At 41.1% G+C, this 20,977-nt stretch overlaps 1 protein-coding gene and 1 long non-coding RNA gene across 12 annotated transcripts in view, besides 6 other annotated features; one reads left to right on the forward strand and one right to left on the reverse strand.

Annotated features, from left to right (window-relative positions):
* SEPTIN7-DT (SEPTIN7 divergent transcript) overlaps positions 1–17,564 on the reverse strand; it is a 45,662-nt gene extending 28,098 nt beyond the window's left edge. The window contains exons 1-2 of one of the 2 annotated variants that reach the window (NR_120512.1): positions 17,429–17,564; positions 10,845–10,961 (exon numbers count right to left, since the gene is read on the reverse strand). This is a non-coding gene — a long non-coding RNA (SEPTIN7 divergent transcript). Of the gene's footprint in view, positions 1–10,844; positions 10,962–17,424 lie in introns of both variants that reach the window. The other variant, NR_120511.1, reaches the window with a different exon arrangement.
* Positions 17,228–17,287: an enhancer, noted in NCBI's record as "active region_25842". NCBI's record gives its function as "activates an Ori minimal core promoter by ATAC-STARR-seq in GM12878 lymphoblastoid cells {active_cell/tissue: GM12878}" and the evidence as "EXISTENCE:reporter gene assay evidence [ECO:0000049][PMID:35858748]".
* Positions 17,410–18,033: an enhancer, noted in NCBI's record as "NANOG-H3K27ac-H3K4me1 hESC enhancer chr7:35840081-35840704 (GRCh37/hg19 assembly coordinates)". NCBI's record gives its function as "activates a minimal SCP1, AML or CMV promoter by ChIP-STARR-seq in primed H9 embryonic stem cells {active_cell/tissue: H9 hESC(primed)}" and the evidence as "EXISTENCE:reporter gene assay evidence [ECO:0000049][PMID:30033119]".
* Positions 17,410–18,037: a biological region, named in NCBI's record as "NANOG-H3K27ac-H3K4me1 hESC enhancer GRCh37_chr7:35840081-35840704".
* Positions 17,648–18,037: an enhancer, noted in NCBI's record as "active region_25843". NCBI's record gives its function as "activates an Ori minimal core promoter by ATAC-STARR-seq in GM12878 lymphoblastoid cells {active_cell/tissue: GM12878}" and the evidence as "EXISTENCE:reporter gene assay evidence [ECO:0000049][PMID:35858748]".
* The window catches only part of SEPTIN7 (septin 7), a 114,778-nt gene continuing 111,725 nt past the window's right edge, over positions 17,925–20,977 (forward strand). For 6 of the 10 annotated variants that reach the window (XM_011515661.3, XM_011515656.3, XM_006715806.4 and 3 more), the window contains exon 1: positions 17,996–18,209. In XM_011515661.3, the coding sequence (XP_011513963.1) occupies positions 18,149–18,209 (61 nt within the window). In that variant the 5' untranslated portion in view covers positions 17,996–18,148. Of the gene's footprint in view, positions 18,210–19,201; positions 19,204–20,977 lie in introns of all 10 variants that reach the window. The other 4 variants (NM_001363715.2, NM_001375299.1, XM_047421095.1 and 1 more) reach the window with 3 other exon arrangements.
* Positions 18,188–18,427: a silencer, noted in NCBI's record as "silent region_18097". NCBI's record gives its function as "represses an Ori minimal core promoter by ATAC-STARR-seq in GM12878 lymphoblastoid cells {active_cell/tissue: GM12878}" and the evidence as "EXISTENCE:reporter gene assay evidence [ECO:0000049][PMID:35858748]".
* Positions 18,458–18,907: a silencer, noted in NCBI's record as "silent region_18098". NCBI's record gives its function as "represses an Ori minimal core promoter by ATAC-STARR-seq in GM12878 lymphoblastoid cells {active_cell/tissue: GM12878}" and the evidence as "EXISTENCE:reporter gene assay evidence [ECO:0000049][PMID:35858748]".

Raw genomic sequence — 20,977 nt, forward strand, 5'->3', positions numbered from 1 at the left:
GACTTGGCTGTTTGTCTGTTCTTGGTGTGTAGGAATGCTTGTGATTTTTGCACATCGATTTTATATCCTGAGACTTTGCTGAAGTTGCTTATCAGCTTAAGGAGATTTTGGGCTAAGACAATGGGGTTTTCTAAACATACAATCATGTCATCTGCAAACAGGGACAATTTGACTTCCTCATTTCCTAATTGAATACCCTTTATTTCTTTCTCCTGCCTGATTGCCCTGCCAGAACTTCCAACATTATGTTGAATAGGAGTGGTGAAAGAGGGCATCCCTGTCTTGTGCCAGTTTTCCAAGGGAATGCTTCCAGTTTTTGCCCATTCAGTATGATATTGGCTGTGGGTTTGTCATAAATAGCTCTTATTATTTTGAGATTAGAATGGCAATCATTAAAAAGTCAGGAAACAACAGGTGCTGGAGAGGATGTGGAGAAATAGGAACACTTTTACACTGTTGGTGAGAGTGTAAACTAGTTCAACCATTGTGGAAGACAGTGTGGCGATTCCTCAAGGATCTATAACTAGAAGTACCATTTGACCCAGTGATCCCATTACTGGGTATATACCCAAAGGATTATAAATCATGCTACTATAAAGACACATGCACATGTATGTTTATTGCGGCACCATTCACAATAACAAAGACTTGGACCCAACCCAAATGTCCATCAATGATAAGACTGGATTAAGAAAAGATGATACATATACACCATGGAATACTATGCAGCCATAAAAAAGGATGAGTTCATGTCCTTTGTAGGGACATAGATGAAGCTGGAAACCATCATTCTGAGCAAACTATCACAAGGACAGAAAACCAAACACCGCATGTTCTCACTCATAGGTGGGAATTGAACAATGAGAACACTTGGACACAGGGTGGGGCACATCACATACTGGAGCCTGTCGTGGGGTGGGGGGAGGTGGGGAGGGATAGCATTAGGAGAAATACCTCATGTAAATGATGAGTTAATGGGTGCAGCACACCAACATGGCACATATATACATATGTAACAAACCTGCATGTTGCACACATGTACCCTAGAACTTAAAGCATAATAAAAAAAATTTCATTTTGTGAGGAATACTACAAATTGGGTTCAGTGTATACTGCTTGGGTGATGGGTGCACCAAAATCTCACAAATCACCACTAAAGAACTTACCATGTAACCAAATACCATCTGTTCCCCCAAAAAGCTATGGAAATAAAAACAAAATTTTTTAAATGCAGATTCCCAGGCCCTGCCAACAGAGGGATTTAAATTTGAGGTAGTCCCAGAAAAGGCTGAGAACCACTGGTCTAAGTCATTAAGTCTAAGGTGCCCAAGAGACTCTAGTCTGACTTAAGCTGGCCTTCAACTTGGAGTGTAGTTGGCAGGTGTAAGCAGGCAGGATATTTGTCTGAAGCTGCATCCTGGTGCCGGAAGGAATCTGAAAACAGGGTCCAAATCTAGAGAGAGAATTCAGCAGGATTTAGGCAAGGGGTCAGAACTCAGAGCTGCCAGGGTTTAGGTTCAAGGCTGGGCTTTGGTTCCGGTGGAGTGCTAAGCAAGGATCCTGAAAAGATCTACTGTATATTTTGTCCCAGTTGTGTAGCAGGCACTGTGTGAAGCTCTTACTCACGTCATCTCATTGATTCTTTATAATTAGCCCTGTGAGACAGGTTGATTTGCCCAAAGTCAGACAGCCAGTAAGTGGCTGAGTTGTGATTTGAGCTTAACTCTATTCTAACTGCAAAGCCCCTCTCTTTCTGCCCCTCCATGGTGCCTACAAGGACTGGGGCAAAGGGTCATCAGGCTCGCCCAGGGCAATAGCTAGGGAGACCATTGGAGTATAAGGGGTTCTGCTCATGTAAGGCTTCAGGCATCTGGCTATTTCCACACTCCCCTCACTAGTAGGTGAAATAAACTCCCAGTGACTGATAGGTTCTCTTGATTTCCAGCATTATGTCTCAGGCAACATAGGGAAATTGGCAGGTTTCTCTTTGTGCCCACAGCCTTCCTGATTATATCTGTTTCTTTTCCAGTCCCTTAGGAGGGGACTACCAGCCTCATGCTCTTCATCTCCATTCCCATTCAGGAATACATGTCTGAAGACAGATGAAAACATTGTACTTTTGGGACCTATTGCGTTTGAACAAAGATGAGGTACTTACAAGAATAAAAGTGATATCAAGAGCTGGAGATAGGAAAGATTTGGAAGATAAACCGAATTCCCAGAAATCACACTTGTAGATAGGCTGTAGCACATTCAAACTGCTCCTATTGCTATCTGAAGGAAATGATAAGATTTTGGGAGATGAGCTGATCAAGAGTTCTGCTGCTTCAGAGATTCTCTAGAAGTACTTTTCATACCACTGTACAGGCCTATGTATACAAAGTCCTCATTTTTCACAGGGAACAATAAGTATGTGTACGCTTCTCACAAAGACAGTCATCAGTGGTCACAACCCATCAAAGCCTCTTTCTTTTGATAACTGAAGTGATAGACCCAGTCACTGCTTTATTAGTATTCCAAATACCAGCACCACCCTACCCTACAATAAACAGAGTCAACAAGAGTGGCTCTCCTGGTACTCTTCACCTCACCAACACTGAGAGCTCAAGACCACGGAATTTTCTTCTACTTATCAGTGTATCACTTGTGAGTCCAAAATTGTCCTAGCAAATACTTCTGACTAATGGCTACCAGACACATTAATATATATTTTAAAATTTACAGGTGGTAGTTTATTTGCTGAGGAAATACAGTAATGAACTTTGAATGACATTATAAGATAATGTCAAACTGGATGACAACTTTTCTTTCTTTTTATAAATGGAGTCTCACTCTGTCACCCAGGCTGGAGTGCAGTGGCATGATCTCAGCTCACTGCAACCTCTGCCTCCCGGGTTCAAGTGATTCTCCTGCCTCCCAAGTAGCTGGGATTACAGGTGCCCGCCACTGCGCCTGGCTAACTTTTGTATTTTTAGTAGAGACGGGGTTTCACCATCTTGACCAGGCAGATGTCGAACTTCTGACCTCGAGATCCGCCTGCCTTGGTCTCCCAAAGTGCTGGAATTACAGGCGTGAGCCATGGCACCTGGCCACGATATAATTTTTAAACATGAGTTCAGACTATATACAGTTTTCTACAACTTGAGGTTTTTGACTTACCATGGACATCTTTTCAGGCCTAGTGTTCTATTTATATGATTGAACTGCAATTTATGATACAACTGTCCTATTAATGGACAATTAGGTTATTTACTATTTTTGCTGTTTCAATCAGTGCTATAGTGAGCATCCTTATATAAATACCTTTTGACACCGGGCATGGTGGCTCATGCCTGTAATCCCAGCACTTTGGGAGGCAGAGGAGGCGGAGTGGTCAGGAGTTTGAGATCAGCCTGGGCAACATGGCGACAACCCCATCTCTACTAAAAAAAAAAAAAAATACAAGAATTAGCTGGGCGCAGTGGCGGGTGCCTGTAATCCCAGCTACTTGGGAGGCTGAGGCAGAAGAATTGCTTGAATCCAGGAGCGGAGGTTGCATGAGCCAAGATCATGCCATTGTACTGTAGCCTGGGCAACAGAGCAAGGCTCCATCTCAAACAAAACAAAACAAAACAAAAAATCTTTTGATATATGTACTGGTTATTTTTCTAGGACAAACATCTAAAACAGGAATTGCCGAGTCAAATGGTATACATATTAACTAGACTTTGGTAGCTTGCAGGGAGAATGGTATGGGATGAACTACATCCCTCAAAAATTTATATGTTGAAGTCCTAACCCCTAGTCCTCAAAATGGAACTGTATTTGTAGAGGTAAGGCCTTTGAAAGGTAAGTTAAAATGAAGCTGTTAGGGTGCGCCCCAGTCCAATCTGACTGGTATCTTAATAAGAAGGAATTTGGACACATGAAGAGAAACCACAGAGGTACACACACAGTGGGAAGACCACGTGAGGACACAGTGAGAAGGTGGCCATCTGCAAGCTAAGGAGAGGGGCCTCAGGAGAAATTTAATTTGCTAACACCTTGATCTTGGAATTTTAGCCTCCAGAACTGTGAGAAAATTAATTTCTGGCATTTAAGTCACCCAGTTTGTGGTATTTTGTTATGGCAGTCTGAAAAGACTAATAGAGGAATCACTCTAAAAGCCTGGGTGGATCCCCAGGTGATCCACCCGCCTCAGCCTCCCAAAATGCTGGGATTACAGGCGCGAGCCACTGCACCCAGCCTGGATGAAAATTTTTCTGTATCCTGTGTACACAACAGGATAAAGTAATTTATTTCTATATCATATACACAATAGGAGAAAGGCAGCATAATAAGGCAGACCAAACACTGGGCTTTGTTGCTTATTAGCTGTGCAACTTTTGCAAATTACTTAACTTCTCTGAGCTGTGTTTTCTACCATGAGAAAACAAAAAGAGTAATACTTGCCCTGAGAAGTTTTTGTGAGGACTGGGCATAATATACGTGATTGTCTAACAATACCCGGGATTTAGAGAGTTGAGGTGGGGCCCCTGTGGTGTGAGCGAGCTGTTCTAATCACTTGCTCCCTCCACTCGTGTCCTTTGTCTCTTCCTTCATCACCCTTACCCTCCTTGCTTGTTGCAGTTTCTTTAACATGGTGTTTATTATAAACCTGGAGGAATTTCAAGGATCTTTGGAGGTTTGTGAACAATTTGTTTTTTGATGTATCTCATTCTGACATGACATGGCATTAAGATTACAGGAAGAAGTTATTAAGGTATTTTCCCATTCACTTATCCCCACTTGTCATCATATAAACTACAAAACAGTGAGAAGAAAATCAAGAATATCTTTCCCACATTTCTTTCTTTGATTGATGGGAGTAAATAGTTCACCTTTAGTAGATCATTTTAAGTACATTAGTCTTTAGATTAAGACAATTAAATCACCCTAGATCTACCTAGTGGCTAGGGTAAGTTAACACAACGTTTGCAACTGAGCCTTAACATATTCCCTCTTCCTGACCATGCCTCCTCCCTCAACTTTCACCATATCTGATCCATGTGCTTCTTTGAGAAAGAGGTAGGAAGGAAACTTGAAATGACTTGAGGATCTACATACATTCCATTCTGCAGCCATCCTCAATTACCTTCACATACTTGACATTCTTTCGATTTCCCAAAGAAATTATATACCCAAAATGGCACAGCTACAGTAGCTGGAATGATTGGTGTCAAGGTATAATACTTTTTTCTTCCTTCAGCAAATCATTCTTTTTATTATTATACTTTAAGTTCTAGGGTACATGTGCACAACGTGCAGGTTTGATACATACGTATACATGTGCCATGTTGGTTTGCTGCACCCATCAACTCATCATTTATGTGAGGTATTTCTCCTAATGCTATCCCTCCCCCAGCCCACCCCCCAACAACAGGCCCCAGTGTGTGATGTTCCCCACCCTGTGTCCAAGTGATCTCATTGTTCAATTCCCACCTATGAGTGAGAACATGCGGTGTTTGGTTTTTTCCCTTGCGATTGTTTGCTCAGAAAGATGGTTTCCAGCTTCATCCATGTCCCTACAAAGGACATGAACTCATCCTTTTTTATGGCTGCATAGTATTCCATGGTGTATATGTGTCACATTTTCTTAATCCAGTCTATCATTGATGGACATTTGGGTTGGTTCCAAGTCTTTGCTATTGTGAATAGTGCCACAATAAACATACATGTGCATGTGTCTTTATAGTAGCACGATTTATAATCCTTTGGGTATATAACCAGTAATGGGATTGCTGGGTCAAATGGTAATTCTAGTTCTAGGTCCTTGAGGAATCACCACACTGTCTTCCACAATGGTTGTACCAATTTACACTCTCACCAACAGTGTAAAACCGTTCCTATTTCTCCGCATCCTCTCCAGCATCTGTTGTTTCCTGACCTTTTAACGATTGCCATTCTAACTAGTGTGAGATGGTACCTCATTGTGGTTTTGATTTGCATTTCTCTGATGACCAGTGATGATGAGCATTTTTTCATGTGTCTGTTGGCTGCATAGATGTCTTCTTTTGAGAAGTGTCTGTTCATATCCTCTGCCCACTTTTTGGTGGGGTTGTTTTTTTCTTGTAAATTTGTTTAAGTTCCTTGTAGATTCTGGATATTAGCCCTCTGTCAGATGGGTAGATTGCAAAAATTTTCTCCCATTCTGTAGGTTGCCTGTTCACTCTGATGGTAGTTTCTTTTGCCATGCAAAAGCTCTTTAGTTTAATTAGATCCCATTCATCTATTTTGGCTTTTGTTGCCATCGCTTTTTGTGTTTTAGTCATGAAATCCTTGCCCATGCCTATGTCCTGAATGGCATTGCCTAGGTTTTTTCTAGGGTTTTTATGGTTTCGGGTCTTACGTTTAAGTCTTCAATCCATCTTGAATTAATTTTTTGTATAAGGTGTAAGGAAGGGATCCAGTTTCAGCTTTCTACATATGGCTAGCCAGTTTTCCCAGCACCATTTATTAACTAGGGAATCCTTTCCCCATTTCTTGTTTTTGTCAGGTTTATCAAAGATCAGATGGTTGTAGATGTGTGGTGTTATTTCTGGGGCTCTGTTCTGTTCCATTGGTCTATCTCTCTGTTTTGGTACCAGTACCTTGCTGTTTTGGTTATTGTAGCTTTGTAGTATAGTTTGAAGTCAGGTAGCATAATGCCTCCAACTTTGTTCTTTTTGCTTAGGATTGTCTTGGCAATGTGGGCTCTTTTTTTGGTTCCATATGAACTTTAAAGTAGTTTTTTCCAATTCATTGGTAGCTTGATGTGGATGGCATTGAATATATAAATTACTTTGGGCAGTATGGCCATTTTCACGATATTGATTCTTTCTATCCACGAGCATGGAATATTCTTCCATTTGTTTGTGTCCTCTTTTTTTTTTGTTGAGCAGTGGTTTGTAGTTCTCCTTGAAGAGGTCCTTCACATCCCTTGTAAGTTGGATTCCTAGGTATTTTATTCTCTTTGAAGCAATTGTGAATGGGAGTTCACTCATGATTTGGCTCTCTGTTTGTCTGTTCTTGGTGTATAGGAATGCTTGTGATTTTTGCACATCGATTTTGTATCCTGAGACTTTGCTGAAGTTGCTTATCAGCTTAAGGAGATTTTGGGCTGAGATGATGAGGTTTTCTAAATATACAATCATGTCATCTGCAAACAGGGATAATTTGACTTCCTCATTTCCTAATTGAATACCCTTTATTTCTTTCTCCTGCCTGATTGCCCTGCCAGAACTTCCAACACTATGTTGAATAGGGGTGGTAAGAGAGGGCATCCCTGTCTTGTGCTGGTTTTCAAAGGGAATGCTTCCAGTTTTTGCCCATTCAGTATGATATTGGCTGTGGGTTTGTCATCAATAGCTCTTATTATTTTGAGATACATTCCATCAATACCTAGTTTATTGAGAGTTTTTAGCGTGAAGGGCTGCTGAATTTTGTCAAAGGCCTTTTCTGCATCTATTGAGATAATCATGTGGTTTTTGTCATTAGTTCTGTTTATGTGATGGATTATGCTTATTGATTCCTTCAGCAAATCATTTTACATGTAAAGTGAAAGATTGCTTTGCTGCAGATTGTTGTGTATTGGTGACAAAAGGAGAGGAAGAGCGAGAGTATCCACCAGTGATTGAAGAAAGGGCTTTACTTTTATCATCTTTTCCTTCTCTTTTTTTCTTTTCAGAGTTCACCTTGGTAGATTAAGCACTATAGGGGGCCGGGTGTGGTGGCTCACGCCTGTAATCCCAGCACTTTGGGGGGCCATGGTGGGCGGACTGCCTGAGACCAGAGTTCAAGGCCACCCTGGGCAACATGGTGAAATCCCGTCTCTATTAAAAATACAAAAATTAGCCAGGTGTGGTTGTAGGCGCCTGTAATCCCAGCTACTCGGGAGGCTGAGGATGGAGAATCACTTGAACCTGGGAGGCGGAAGTTGCAGTAAGCCAGGATCGTGTCACTGCACTTCAGCCTGGGTGACAGAGCAAGACTCTGTCTCAAAACAATAAACTTGAAAAAAAAAAAAAAAACACCATATGTCTGGGAAGGCTTGTGCATACTTTTCCCTAATAGGTTAGTACCTATCTTGGGAAGCTAAGAGTCAGGGCTGCCTTTTATCTAGAACTGATCAGAAGGGAGAGGGGCTAGAAGCAGCTGGGCTGAAGCAAGAAAAGTAAAGATGGATTTGTTCTCTTGACCCAACCTGGCCAATGGCAGAGTTAGCCAAGGCTTTCATTTGTCTGTCATGGAGATGCTAAAAACAGAGAAGTCTCTGCCAGATTTTAAATCTGGGGGCAAATTGTGTAGGAACTGTTGTTTTTCCTTTTTTCTCAATGTGTTTGTGTGTGCATGCAATGGAAGCTGGAGATAAATTAAGGAGCAACTATGAAGATAATATAACAATTTCTTCCTATTTGCAATATTTAAGTTCCACTTTTTTTGCCCCTTTTTGGTGCTGCTTTTTCTACTCTATTTTCTAAACCACATATAACCCTCCAAAATATATGCAATTATTTCCAATAAATATTTGAGTGCCTACTATGTGCAAGGTATTATGCTAGGTTCTGCATTAGAGAGCTAAGATTTAGTCTACCTCATGGTCTGCAGTCTCACAGCAAAAGTAACCCATGGTCATGCTTGCTCATAGATTTGCAAAAACAGCTAGATTTTACAAAAGAAAACATTTTAGTTGTCTAGCATTCATTGATAGCATCTACATGTCATGGACATTTAGCTCAAAGCAAAAACGTATTTTGAAATAATGAACAATTAAATGATCACTTTTATCAGAAACAAAAATTTCAGAAGAGTCTGCTCACTTGTGTGTCACAAATCGTGAAAGGGAAAGGGAATTATGTCCATGCCATATGTGAACCATAGAGTTAGGCAGTAATATCATATCATCTGCAGTACAGCTGCTTCATTTAAATTCAAACTCTAACATTTATAGTTTCAATAGTTGTTATTGTGGGCTGTATACATGACATTAAAAATCATATTTGAGGAAGTTCTTGAATTTGGTAGCTGATTTAGATTATAAGGTCTCTTCCAACTCTAAGATATTAGAGTCTATTAGGACACAAATGTAGTCTTGGGAATAAGAACTTGAGGGTGAAATATCCAGAGTTCAACACCAGTGTTTAATGCTGCATTGCTACCATTTTGGATAATAAAAATGACAATTATTTTGGTTTCATAAAATCTGTTTATCTGTTTATAGTGTTTGGCTGGAAAGATGTTATCACTTACTGCCAAATTTTTAAAGCAAATAAAAGAAAAAGGAGTATCAACCAAAAACCATAAATAAATCATAATCATGATTCTGCACATGAAAAGGAGCACATCATGGATAACAATCACAAACACCATCATTTGCTTTTTTTTTTTAATAGATGCTTAAGTACCTCCCTAAAAATAGGATCCAATCAATATCAAATGATTAGAGATACAGTACAGGAAAGAATTTCTGAGTTGTTGGGAGCCTCATGAAGGAGGGGAGTAATGACACACTATACTACTTTAACTATTACTAAGCATTTGTCCTCTACCAGTCAGTCTCCATGGTAATCCAATGCAACTGCTTCGCTTAAAGCAAGTGGATCAGTCTGGCACAGGCTAATTTGCTTCCTCTCCAAATTTCCTGTTTTCCTGGATATGAGGTCTCTAAGTGCATCTTCAGGAAACAGCCACTCATTAGAGGTCCTCTAGAAAGGATAACTTGGAGAGAGCAGGTTCTTATTGCTTGCTAAAATCATAGCCTTGTTCTAACCTCATGTTTCATCTACATAAAATTACTAAAGTTCAATTCAGTTCACTTTCAGGAGTCTCTTCTAGTGCAGGAGGCATTCACTTATTGCCAAAGTCAATATACTAAGTCTGGTTGTTGAAGGCAGCTGGTTTCCCATAGAACCATGTGTCCTTGTTTCCTATTTCAGTTAGTTTCTGAGTCAATGGTAGGAAAATGCCAAAGGGAGTTGGCAACAATGGCCTTTTCCACTTATAATAGATTTTCTTTGATGTACTTTGGATTTTTCTCCAGTATTGTGTTCAGCAGTATTTCTACTGTGTAATCAGATTGGATAGCTCCACAACAAGGCACTGATTGGCAAGAGAACACCGAGGTAAATGGTTTCCTCTCTTCCTTTGGTCCCTGAGGCAACCGTGCTGCCAGTCTATTACCAGTGATATGGAGTCTTGAGAGGGAAGTGAGGCTCTTATCTGCATTAGAACTAAGGTTCCAGAAGAGCCCTGGAATTTGAAAATTCCTTGAGCCTCCAGTGATAAGTTGAGATAAATCCGGCCTCCCGAGGCAGTCTGGATTCAAACATCCTATTTCTGCACTGCTTCCTCCCCCTTCCCTCCTTGGCTGGTGGGAAAAACTCTTCCTGAGGTGACTAATTTAAGAATGGGAGTTATTTGCTCTGCTTTTTTGCTGTTTAACTCTCTGGGGCTTCAAGCTGCATGGTTCTCTCATTTTATTTTCTTTTGTTTTGTTATTATTACTATGTCTTTTGGCTTTTCCTCCTTTGTGGGATGAAGTTTGATTTTAAACAGAAAAAAAAAGCTATGAGGCTTTATTTAAAAAAAAAAACAACTTTGTTCATCAGTTTTATAGCCTTGCAAGTGTCACTTGACTTCCTGTACCTTACAGATTCCTAATCTATAAAAGGGCATGTCAATATTCCCTTGAATTTGTGGAACATTAACATTGTCAATTATTTTAGATTCTTTGTTCTCAAGATAACTTTCCTCTAATAACTATGCTATTTAATCATGAACTTAACATTAGAATGTATAATTTTCAAATATTCAAAAGTTAAATATAAAAATATTTAAACCATACTTACCTTGATTCCCTGGTGTTTGTATTTCACAACACTTAAACGAGATTTTGTGAATGGTAGAATATTTCTCTTGTGTAATAGTTGTCTCTCAGTATCAGAGGGGATTGGTTCCAGGACCTCCTGTGGATGACAAAATCCTCAGATGCCCAACTCCCTGATATGAAATGGTGTAGTACTTGCAAATAACCTATACATATCCTCTCTTATACTTCAAATCATCTCTAGGTTACTTATAATACCTAATACAAGGTAAGTGCTATGTAAATGGCTGTTATACTATATTGCTTAAGGAATAATGACAAGAAGAAGTCTGTACATGTTCAGTACAGATGCAATTTAAAAAAAATTTTCTGTGGTTGGTTGAATCCATGGGTGTGGAACCCACAGATACGGAGGGGCTGGCTATATCTTGAATGAAGAGTTTTCATATTTGAAATCTGACCTGAAAAAAAAATTAATTCATACAAAACTAAGTTAGTTTCAACTTGTTTTTTTTTTTTTTTTTTTGAGACGGAGTCTTGCTCTGTCACCCAGGCTGGAGTGCAGTGGAACAATCTGCTCACTGCAACCTCCGCCTCCTAGGTTCAAGCCACTCTCCTGCCTCAGCCTCTCCAGTAGCGGGATTACAGGCGTGCACCACCACGCCCAGCTAATTTTTGCATTTCAGTAGAGACAGGGTTTCACCATGTTGGCCAGGCTGGTCTTGAACTCCTAACCTCGTGATCCACCCACCTTGGCCTCCCAAAGTGCTGGGATCACAGGCATGAGCCACCGTGCCTAGCCCTAGTTTCAGCTTTCATGAACAAGTTACATAACTTTAATTTTCACAAGAAAAAAGTTTTAGTTAATGGCTCTTTCTTTTCCACATAATTTCTCAATCCTCTTCCAATATCCTTCAAAGGAGGAATATAAAGCACTCAAGGGCTTTTTGGATACTTGGATGTTACTGTTAATAGCAAAATATTGTGGATTGCCTAACCTGGTTCATAAAATACACACCTGAAGTCTCAAGCTTCCCCTCCACCACTCAACCTGACCATGTCTGCTAATTTTTGGTAACGCAGAAAACAGGAGAGATCTGTTGAGAGGTGCCATCTCATTTTTACTGTTATGTTCTGAGTTGGCCCTCAAATAGAACCTTCATATAGACCTAATACCATTCTCTGGTCCTTCTTCTTGCATCAAAGGTAAAAAAGTACCTGAAAATTGTAACAATCATCTTACCCTCTCACCAGACTAATGTCCAGCAAATAAAGGATAGGATTCAGGACAATAGGGAAACAAATCTCTTCACCTGAGATCTCATTTATTGGAAAAGTATGAGTTCTCTGAACCTTGTCTCAGAGCCTTATAAAATGTGAAGAGCTAAAGGGAAATCATTTCATTTCTTTGAACTTTGGTTTACTCAATTAAAAAGTGGGTGTAATACCTGTTCCATAAAATTGTTATATGGATTAAATGAGATTAATGTGAAATGGCTGGCTATAAAAATTCTCATCTTCAGGTTATTATAGGTAGTCCTGGTTCTACTACCAGCTAGAATGTTGGTCCATATTTATCACAGACAATTACTAAAACAAGAATATTTGCATAACACTCCATAGTTTACAAAGCACACTGACCTAAAGAATACTTTCACTTATGCATATTCAAATGTTAAATCTGGGTAATATTTTTACCTGTTCAGACACGAAGTCTGGGCATTTGGGAGGAACCTTTATTAAGAAACATTAAGCAGCTGTGTGCCAGAGTTTTGGCAAGCTGACATTCACTAATTATAATTTAACACATCTACATTGAGCTCACATATGTGCTAGTGCAGCAGTTCTCAAACTTTTGGTCTCAGTACTCCTTTACATTCTTAAATATTATCGAGAACCCCAAAGAGTATTTCTTTATGTGAAATATATCTATTGATATTTATTGTATTAAAAATTAAAACTGAGAATGTTTTAAAATATTACTACTTCATTAAAAAACCAATTCATTAAAATTCATCAAATAACACTAAACCGTTACATGATAATGTAAAAAACATATTTTGATGAAAAATAACTGTATCTTCCAAAACAACAACAAAGAAATAGTTTGGAGTGCCATTGCTTTACATTTTTGCAAACCCCTTTAATGTCTAGCTTAATAGAAGATAGCCGGATTATTTTGTTTTTGCATTCAAGCTGTTGCAATATCACACTTCACACAATCTCTGGAAAATGACACTGTGTGCTCATTAAATAATGGGAACAAAAAAGGTAAAAAATACGTCTTATTATTGTAATTAAGACATTGACGTCTTGGCACATCTCAAGAGATTCCCTCTTGAGGTTTCCCCATTCCACACTTCAACCAATGTGCTAGTGCCTAGTATCCAATTATCACTCAAGAAGTAATTGTCAAATAAAGTAATGAATACCATATCCTGGGCCAGGTGCTGAGGCTACAGAGGTGGACAAGACAAGAGATCTTGACTTTAAGGAGTTTAGACTTAAATTTGTCTCTCTTAAATAGGAGACAAGTATTTACAAAACTCTGCTACTAGAACTACCATAGGAGAAAACACAAGATACTATGGGAGGTGAGAGGGTACCTAGCCTAGTTTTTGGTGATCAAGGAAGACTTTTAGAGAAAATAGTGGTTAAGCTGAGACTTAAAGGAAAAACCAGGTAAGGAATGCAAATGTAAAAAGGAGAGTGAAGTGGGAGCAGCAGGGCTTACTAGGATTTAGGGTGAGCAAGGTATAGCAGATTAGCCAGAAATGAGGGAATGTGTCATGCAAGTTTCTTCAAGGAAAATTTTAAGACTTTAAACAGGGGACTGACATAGTTAAAGTTTAGAAAGGTCACTCTGGGTACGATGTAAAGGATGAGTTGCAGTATTACCGGCCAGAAAAGCTACTGCAAGGAGTTGAGGCAGGAGATAATTATGGCTTAAGTAGAATAGTAATGAAGCGGAGAGAAATGGAAAATTAGAGTTGAGAAGGAAAAACTGATAGGGCTTTCTAATGGCTGACAGAGAGAGACGGGCTGAGTAAATACCCATATTTCTGGTTTACAAAAGCGGGTTGATGATACCCACTTTTAGAGATTAGAAACATAAAAGCTGGTAAAATAAAGAGTTTAGTTTGGGATTTTTGAGATATCTTGGAACATCCAGGACAGATATTTTGAAGGCAGTAAGACATATAGGTTTGTAGTCAGAAGAGAGAACTGGACTAGAAACTTGCATTAGGAGTTACTAGTGTATATACGGCGGCTGAAGCCATGAAGGTGAATGAGACCACATAAAGGATAATGTAAAAAGTGAGATAGAAACAAATTGCACACAACTTTGGGGTTCATGGATATTTGACAGCCAGAAGGGGGTCCTGAAAGGTAAAATAGAGACACAGAGATCTAGGAGAAAAACTAGGAAAGTGTGGTTTCACAAATCAAGGCATATGAATGCAGAAGGCCAAGGGTTCTAGTATCAAATGCTGCAGAGAGGTCAAGGAAAATAAGACAAAGGGTCTACTGGATTGAACACAAGAGGTTCTTGGTGACCTCGTTGAGAATTTCAGTGGAGTGGTAGTTGCAGAACCCAGAAGCTTGTTGAATAAAGAACCCATTGACTGCAGTTCCTGGAAAGGCAGGAGGAGTGAGAATCTAGAGAACGAGCACAAAGAGATGGAATACAGGGAACTGGCAGAGATATGTGCCTCAGACAGGGGGGCACCTAATCTACCGTGAAGCTTGAAAGAATGAGTATGGAGACATAAAATTGTTGGAGTTCCTGTTTTTTTTTTCTGAGACGGAGCCTCGCTCTGTCACCAGGGCTGGCAGTGGCACGATCTTGGCTCACTGCAACCTCTGCCTCCTGGGTTCAAGCAATTATCTTGCCTCAGCCTCCCTAGTAGCTGGGATTACAGGCACCCGCCAAGACATCCGGCTAATTTTTGTATTTTTAGTAGAAACAGGGTTTCACCATGTTGGCCAGACTGGTCTCGAACTCCTGACCTCAGGTGATGTGCCTGCCTCGGCCTTCCAAAGTTCTGGGTTTACAGGCATGAGCCATCACGCTCAGCCTGAGTTCCTCTTTGATGGTTTCTATTTTTTTCTATTCTCTTATTTGAGAATAAGTGAGGGGAGTGGTTTGAAAAATAAGGAGAAAATCAGAAGTGGCTGTTGTGGAAATTAAGAGAGAGCCAACTAGGGAAACAAGCATTGCTTGGTAAAGTTGAAGGCCCACGTGAGTTTGGACGCTGTAAATATGTGGTGGAAACCATCTATATGGTCTGTCCAGAATTTCAGATCAGTTTTTTTAAATCTGTTTCTGAGTCAGTAAAGTCTAGGCTATATTTTATTAACAAATAAATGCAATAAAGAGATCATAAATATTGCAAATAAGTGCAATAAAGAGATCATAAGATCAATACAATTCTCTTTCCTCGTGCACCACGTATAATTTGCATAACACATGTATATACATTATAGAACATTGGCTATGAAACCTCCCTACAAAGAAAGTTCCTCAGAATATCATTATTTCATTGCCTGTAACACTCCGTATAATTTTTTCTTTTTTTTTTTTGAGACGGAATTTCGCTCTTGTTGCCCAGGCTGGAGTGCAGTGGTGCTATCTGGGCTCACTGTAACCTCCGCCTCCTGGGTTCAAGTGATTCTCCTGCCTCAGTCTCCCGAGTAGCAGGAATTACAGGTACCGCCACCACACCCGGCTAATTTTTTGTATTTTTAGTAGATGCGGGGTTTCACCATGTTAGCCAGGCTGGTCTCGAACTCCTGACCTCAGGCGATCTGCCTGCCTCGGCCTCCCAAAGTGCTGGGATTACAGGCGTGAGCCACCGCGCCCGGCCACTCTGTGTGATTTTCAATGAAAAGTAGTGAAGCTATCATAGTGTGGGGTGAACATGAACAAACTTCAGACAAGGAATTTAATATAGTTTCTATTAAGAATTTATCCATTTTCATAGCACAAAATAACACAATTCACCTCTTTCATACCCATTAAGAGATCTTCCTCAAAGAAATATTATCAATAGAGATGGGAGGCAAAGATTTACTTCCTTTAGACTATTAGGTTATATTAATATAAGTATTTGCTTTAATTTTATATTTTAAAATAATCTATATTTAGGTAATATTTACTAAGCATTGACTAAGCACCGTGTTCATGTATTAGTCTATTTAACTCTTATCAAAATCCTGTTAGATAAGTATTATCTCCGTTTATAGATGAGGAAACTGGATCACAGGAAAGTTTAAGTAACTTGTTCTTGGTTGCAAGCCTAATAAATGGAGAGCTGGGATTTGAACTCAGGCAGTCTGACTCCGGAGGCTATATACATTTACCCTCCTTGGTACACTGCTTTTTTTCAAAAATAGAAATTCAACAAAATTTCCCAAAGTAAAAGTTCATTTGAAGTTTCAGAAACTTAAAACAATGATTGAACAGATAAGTTGCAACAGACTTCATAAGCAGTTCAGTAAAAATGTAGACTTACGAAATGGCATATATCAAGATACAAAATAAGTTGCTTCTATAAGTTTCTTTTCTTAAAAAAAATTACTTGGAAATATTTCAAGTATATAGAACAGTAAAGGAAATAATTACAAGTGAACACCCATGTGCCCTCTACTTAGCTTAATGTTTTGCCACATTTTCAAGATATTTCTGGTAGAAAACAAACGTTATAGATACAAATGAACCCTTCTTGTTACATTCCCTTCTGTTCATCTCTGGAAGCAACCAGTATTCTGAATTTGGTATCTATCATTTCCTTATACAATTTTTAGTTTGATCTTACTTTTTTGTAATTATTAAACTTTTATTTATGGTATGTCATATATATCTTTCCGCAACCTGTCTTTTCATTTCTTCCTCAATATTAGGTTAATGACTCTATCCATATGAAAAATGGTAGCTTTAGTTCACTGATTTTTTGGTTCGTGTTGTATGTCAATTTGTTCAACAATGACACTTATTCATCCATTCTCCTATTAGTAGACATTTATTGTTTCACTAATATAAGCTATTTTGCTCTGAACTTTCTTGCACGTGCCTATAACTTAAAAATACACATACTTTTTTAAAACATGCAGTTAAACAGGAACATACACATTTCTTTAACATGTAGTTAAACAGGAAAAGTAACACATGTGCATGAAGAATACAACCAAGAGAGCCATCACGTTCAAGAAAAGACCACAGGTTATTCCGAGTGAAGTAAGGCTTTCACTAGAAGGCACTTGGGGAACGTTCCAATGACAGCGACATTCATCGCTACAGTAGAAACTCACACAATCGCAGCCCTTTATTAGTATTTTGTTACCCAGTAGTTCCTGTGTCCATTCATTTCCTCAACTGGAGTGTGAGCTCCAAGAGGACCGAACCGGGCACCGACAAGGTGAGCCAATATGAATGTGGCGAGTCCGCAATGGGGGCTACAGCGGCCGACCTCTGGGGCTGTGCCAGGCCACTAGAGTGTGATGGCGCGAGGGAAGGGTCGGGGAAACAGGGCCTAACCTCACTTTTCACCCCGAAAGTCAAGATAGCCACGGAAACAGGGATGAATGGGGAGCACAGACACCTGCCTCGAAGTGTCTCTTCACTTTCACTCACAAAGCCGTCGGGTCAGTAACCAGAAGCCGAGGGGCGGATGCGGCCCCCGCCCTGTGGCACTTTCTCAGTCTGGTTCTTCCAGCCGCGCCTCTTTGCCTTACGCCAATTCCGTAAGGAGGCGCTGAGGCCAACTGGCCGGCTCCCGCAGCTCCAAAACTTGACGTGAAATTGCGCGGGGCAGAGCTGACTGCGGCCATCTTTAATTCGGGCAAGACCCCACCCTCGCACCCCACCCACTAGTCCTTTTCAGCGTTCCCAGGATTTTCTCCAACAAATGTAACGCGGTTAACCTTAGAAGCAGTGTTGAAGAAACACGCAAAGAGGCCTGAGTATCCATGACCTCAGTGGTGCGAAACCCGGCCAACTTAAACATGGCGGCTAAACCCGAACAGCAAAACGTTGCTGACGCCAATGAAGTCATGCTCGAAATGGAGCGAGGCGGCGGAGCTGGGGAGGCGGTAATCTCGCGAGATGGAAGCCAGCCTCCGCTAGGCCCGGAAGCCTCGTCTGAGGGGGCGGGGGACGGAGGAGGGAGCGGGAGTCGAGCGAGAGCCTGTGGAGGAGTCCGCCTGCTGTAGCGTGCGTAAGCAAGGCAGCTACGCCGGGCGGCTACGCTGCGGAATCGGCGTAGGCGCCTTTGGAGAATCGGCGGGCTGCGCTCCGCTGGGGCTGGTCGCGGAGGGGGGGAGGGGATGTCGGTCAGTGCGAGATCCGCTGCTGCTGAGGAGAGGAGCGTCAACAGCAGCACCATGGGTGAGTCTCAGCTTCGGGTGCCGCGACTTGGGGTCAGCGGCTCCGAATGCCGGGAAGCTCTGCGGCCGCTGGACCGAGCTAGGGAACGCCCTGAGGCGAGGCGGAGGCAGCGGCGAGGGGAGCCGGGATGGGGGCCACTGCGGGCCCGGGGCGCGGCAGCGGCGGGCTCGGGGGGAGGGGAGGCGGCGGCGGTGACAGTTTGAATTGAACGTGAGGAGAGCCGAGGCGGCGGCATTTCCTGTGCCGCGGCGGGCTGGCCCCCGGCGCAGAGCCGCGGCCTCCGCGGCCGGAGCAGCCTGAGCGTGGTGGTCTCAGCCCTGCCCTTGCTTCTCTCCGTCCCTTCGCCTTTCCTCAGTCTCCTCCCGGGCCCGCCGGCTTCCGCGGCCCCGCTTCCTCCTGTCCCCGGCCGCATCCCCGTCGGCAGAAGTCCCCTCGTGGGGCAGTGGGCCTGGCTAGGAGGGTGGGGACGAGTGTGAACGCTCGGGCGAGGGTGCTGTGTGGGCCAACCCGGGCGGGCGGCGGCGGGGAGGGAGGAAGAAGGATGCACCAGGCTGAGGCTGTGGTGGAGGCGGCGGCGGCGGCTGCAGCCGCAGCTCCAGTCACCGCGTCGCCTCCCCGCTCCTCCTCCCGCCTCTCGGGGTTGCCTCTCTCCAGGCGCAGCCCGGAAGGCCGGTGGATGGCGGGCGAGTCTTGAGAACGGAGGGAGAATCGGTAGTTTGGTTTGGAATTTGGGCTTAATTTTTAGGAGTAAGGGAAAGAGAACGCCTGGGAAGGGCGCCCCCCGGAGGAGATAGAAAGGGTGGGAAGGGTCCTTGGAAAAGGGAGGGAGCGGAGATGTGGAGTGGCGAAGTTTAGGGAAATTAATTTTTGAAAATATTTCAATATTCTCAGTTATTCTCTTAACGAGCCCTTTCATTTCCTTTCCTCCCCCACATGTTGGAAAAAGAACAGGCCATTTCATTTACATTTTCCACTCCTGAGTTCCATTTCAGCTGTGTGTATAGTAAGAAATAAGCAACCGAGATTTTTCTAGGACATTTCCATTTGCTGAGTTACTTTTGAAGAGTACACTGTTTCAAATTTGGGTTTTTACAGTCCTAGGAAAGAATTTGTGACGTCCAGGTGTTTTCTTAGTTACTGAAATAATAACTTACTACATTTCTTGAGTTTATTGCTAAATAGTTCAGCTTTAAGAATTCTTTCTTCTGGCTTTTTTATTTTGATGAAAGGAAAAAATATCTTTGTTAGTGCCCCTGAGAATGTAAATGAACAGATCATCTAAATTACTAAGCATCTAACCTGTTTTACATATTTATGCACATGCAGGTGATGAGTATAGTCAGTTTTTCCCCCTAAAGTTTATGTGCAGACATGGGGAGGAGAGTATTTTAGACTTAAAAGTGTACAGGTAGGGATGAAATTTATGGAATCCTGATAGACTGAAGGGGGGATATAAACAATGACCAAGTCAGCTATTGCTGCTTGGATTCTTTATTTCTTCAGACTGCAAGGGAATGAGTAAGGGGTGGTTGGGTGGTGATGGGGGGGTGGTACGGTCGTGGCGGGAGAGCAGTAAACAATCTTTCATCTCATTCAGCTGTTCAGTGGGTGGGACTAAAGGAGATAAGAGTTGAGTGAAGCTATGAAATAAATGTGGAAGCTACATAGGTGATTTGCATGGTAGCATTGTCTTATTCTATGATGGGACAACATGATGGAACCAGGTCTTCATAACACAGTTATTAAAAATACATATTTTACCACATCTTAGGCTTACAGAATTCAAATTCACAACAAATAACAGAAATGTTAAGTTGATTTTAATTAGTTCTTATCCTTTAAAAAGAAAGGATATTGTCTTTTTCTAATGTAGCTTAACAATTTTTGTTGCAGGCTTTGGTTTGGAGATATTTGATGCATACATAATACATGAAAGGTAGTGTTAAAAGATTGTATTTCAGAAGTTTGTGATAAAATTGGTTGTTCAGATTTGCACATTGTCCCGTAGAAGTCATTTTAAGTAAATCCATGCCAGAACTTCTGAACAAGTCTGAGGCAAGTTAGGAATCCTTACAGAACCTAGGAGAATTTAGAGGAATATGCTAGGACAACAACAACAACAAAGCTTGGGGGAGAAGAGGGAGGAAGAAGAGTTACATCTATGGCTTCTAAGGTCTCAGTAATGGAGAGTGATCAGATGAGGGACCAGTCAGAATAAGGATAGTGGTAGAGCAGATTAGTTTCAGACTTTGTATAATTTGATGATATACATATTCATTGTAGACTGTATTCTGGGAATTGCCGATAGAGAATTCCTACCTGACTAAATTGCCTGCTGAGAAATGTGTTTCACATTTTGAATTAATAAGCTATCTTCAATTTTTGATTATAAGTTGAACATTTTAAACTAATGATTTATGTCTTTTACTAAGTTTTGAGACAAAACTTTTTGTATACTTCTTTTTTTGTACTAAGTTTGGACTGTAAAGATAAACTTTATTATACAATAGAAACTGAAGAAAAATTATGTTTTTAAGGAGCAGAATTGTAAGGTAGTTTGATTATGGGTTTAGTTCGCTATATGAGAGCATACTGTTAAATGTAGACCATTGAACTCTACAGCAGTGTTTTGAAGACTGCAGGTTGTGACCCATTAGTGGACATTGCACTTAATATTTTGAGGGAGATTAAATTTTCTTTCAGGTATTGTGTACTAGGTGGGGAAGTAATTTTTTTTAAGGATTGTGGTCAAAATGTACAGTATGGAT

The sequence above is a fragment of the Homo sapiens genome, chromosome 7 (assembly GCF_000001405.40).
Source record: "Homo sapiens chromosome 7, GRCh38.p14 Primary Assembly".
NCBI lineage: Eukaryota > Metazoa > Chordata > Mammalia > Primates > Hominidae > Homo > Homo sapiens.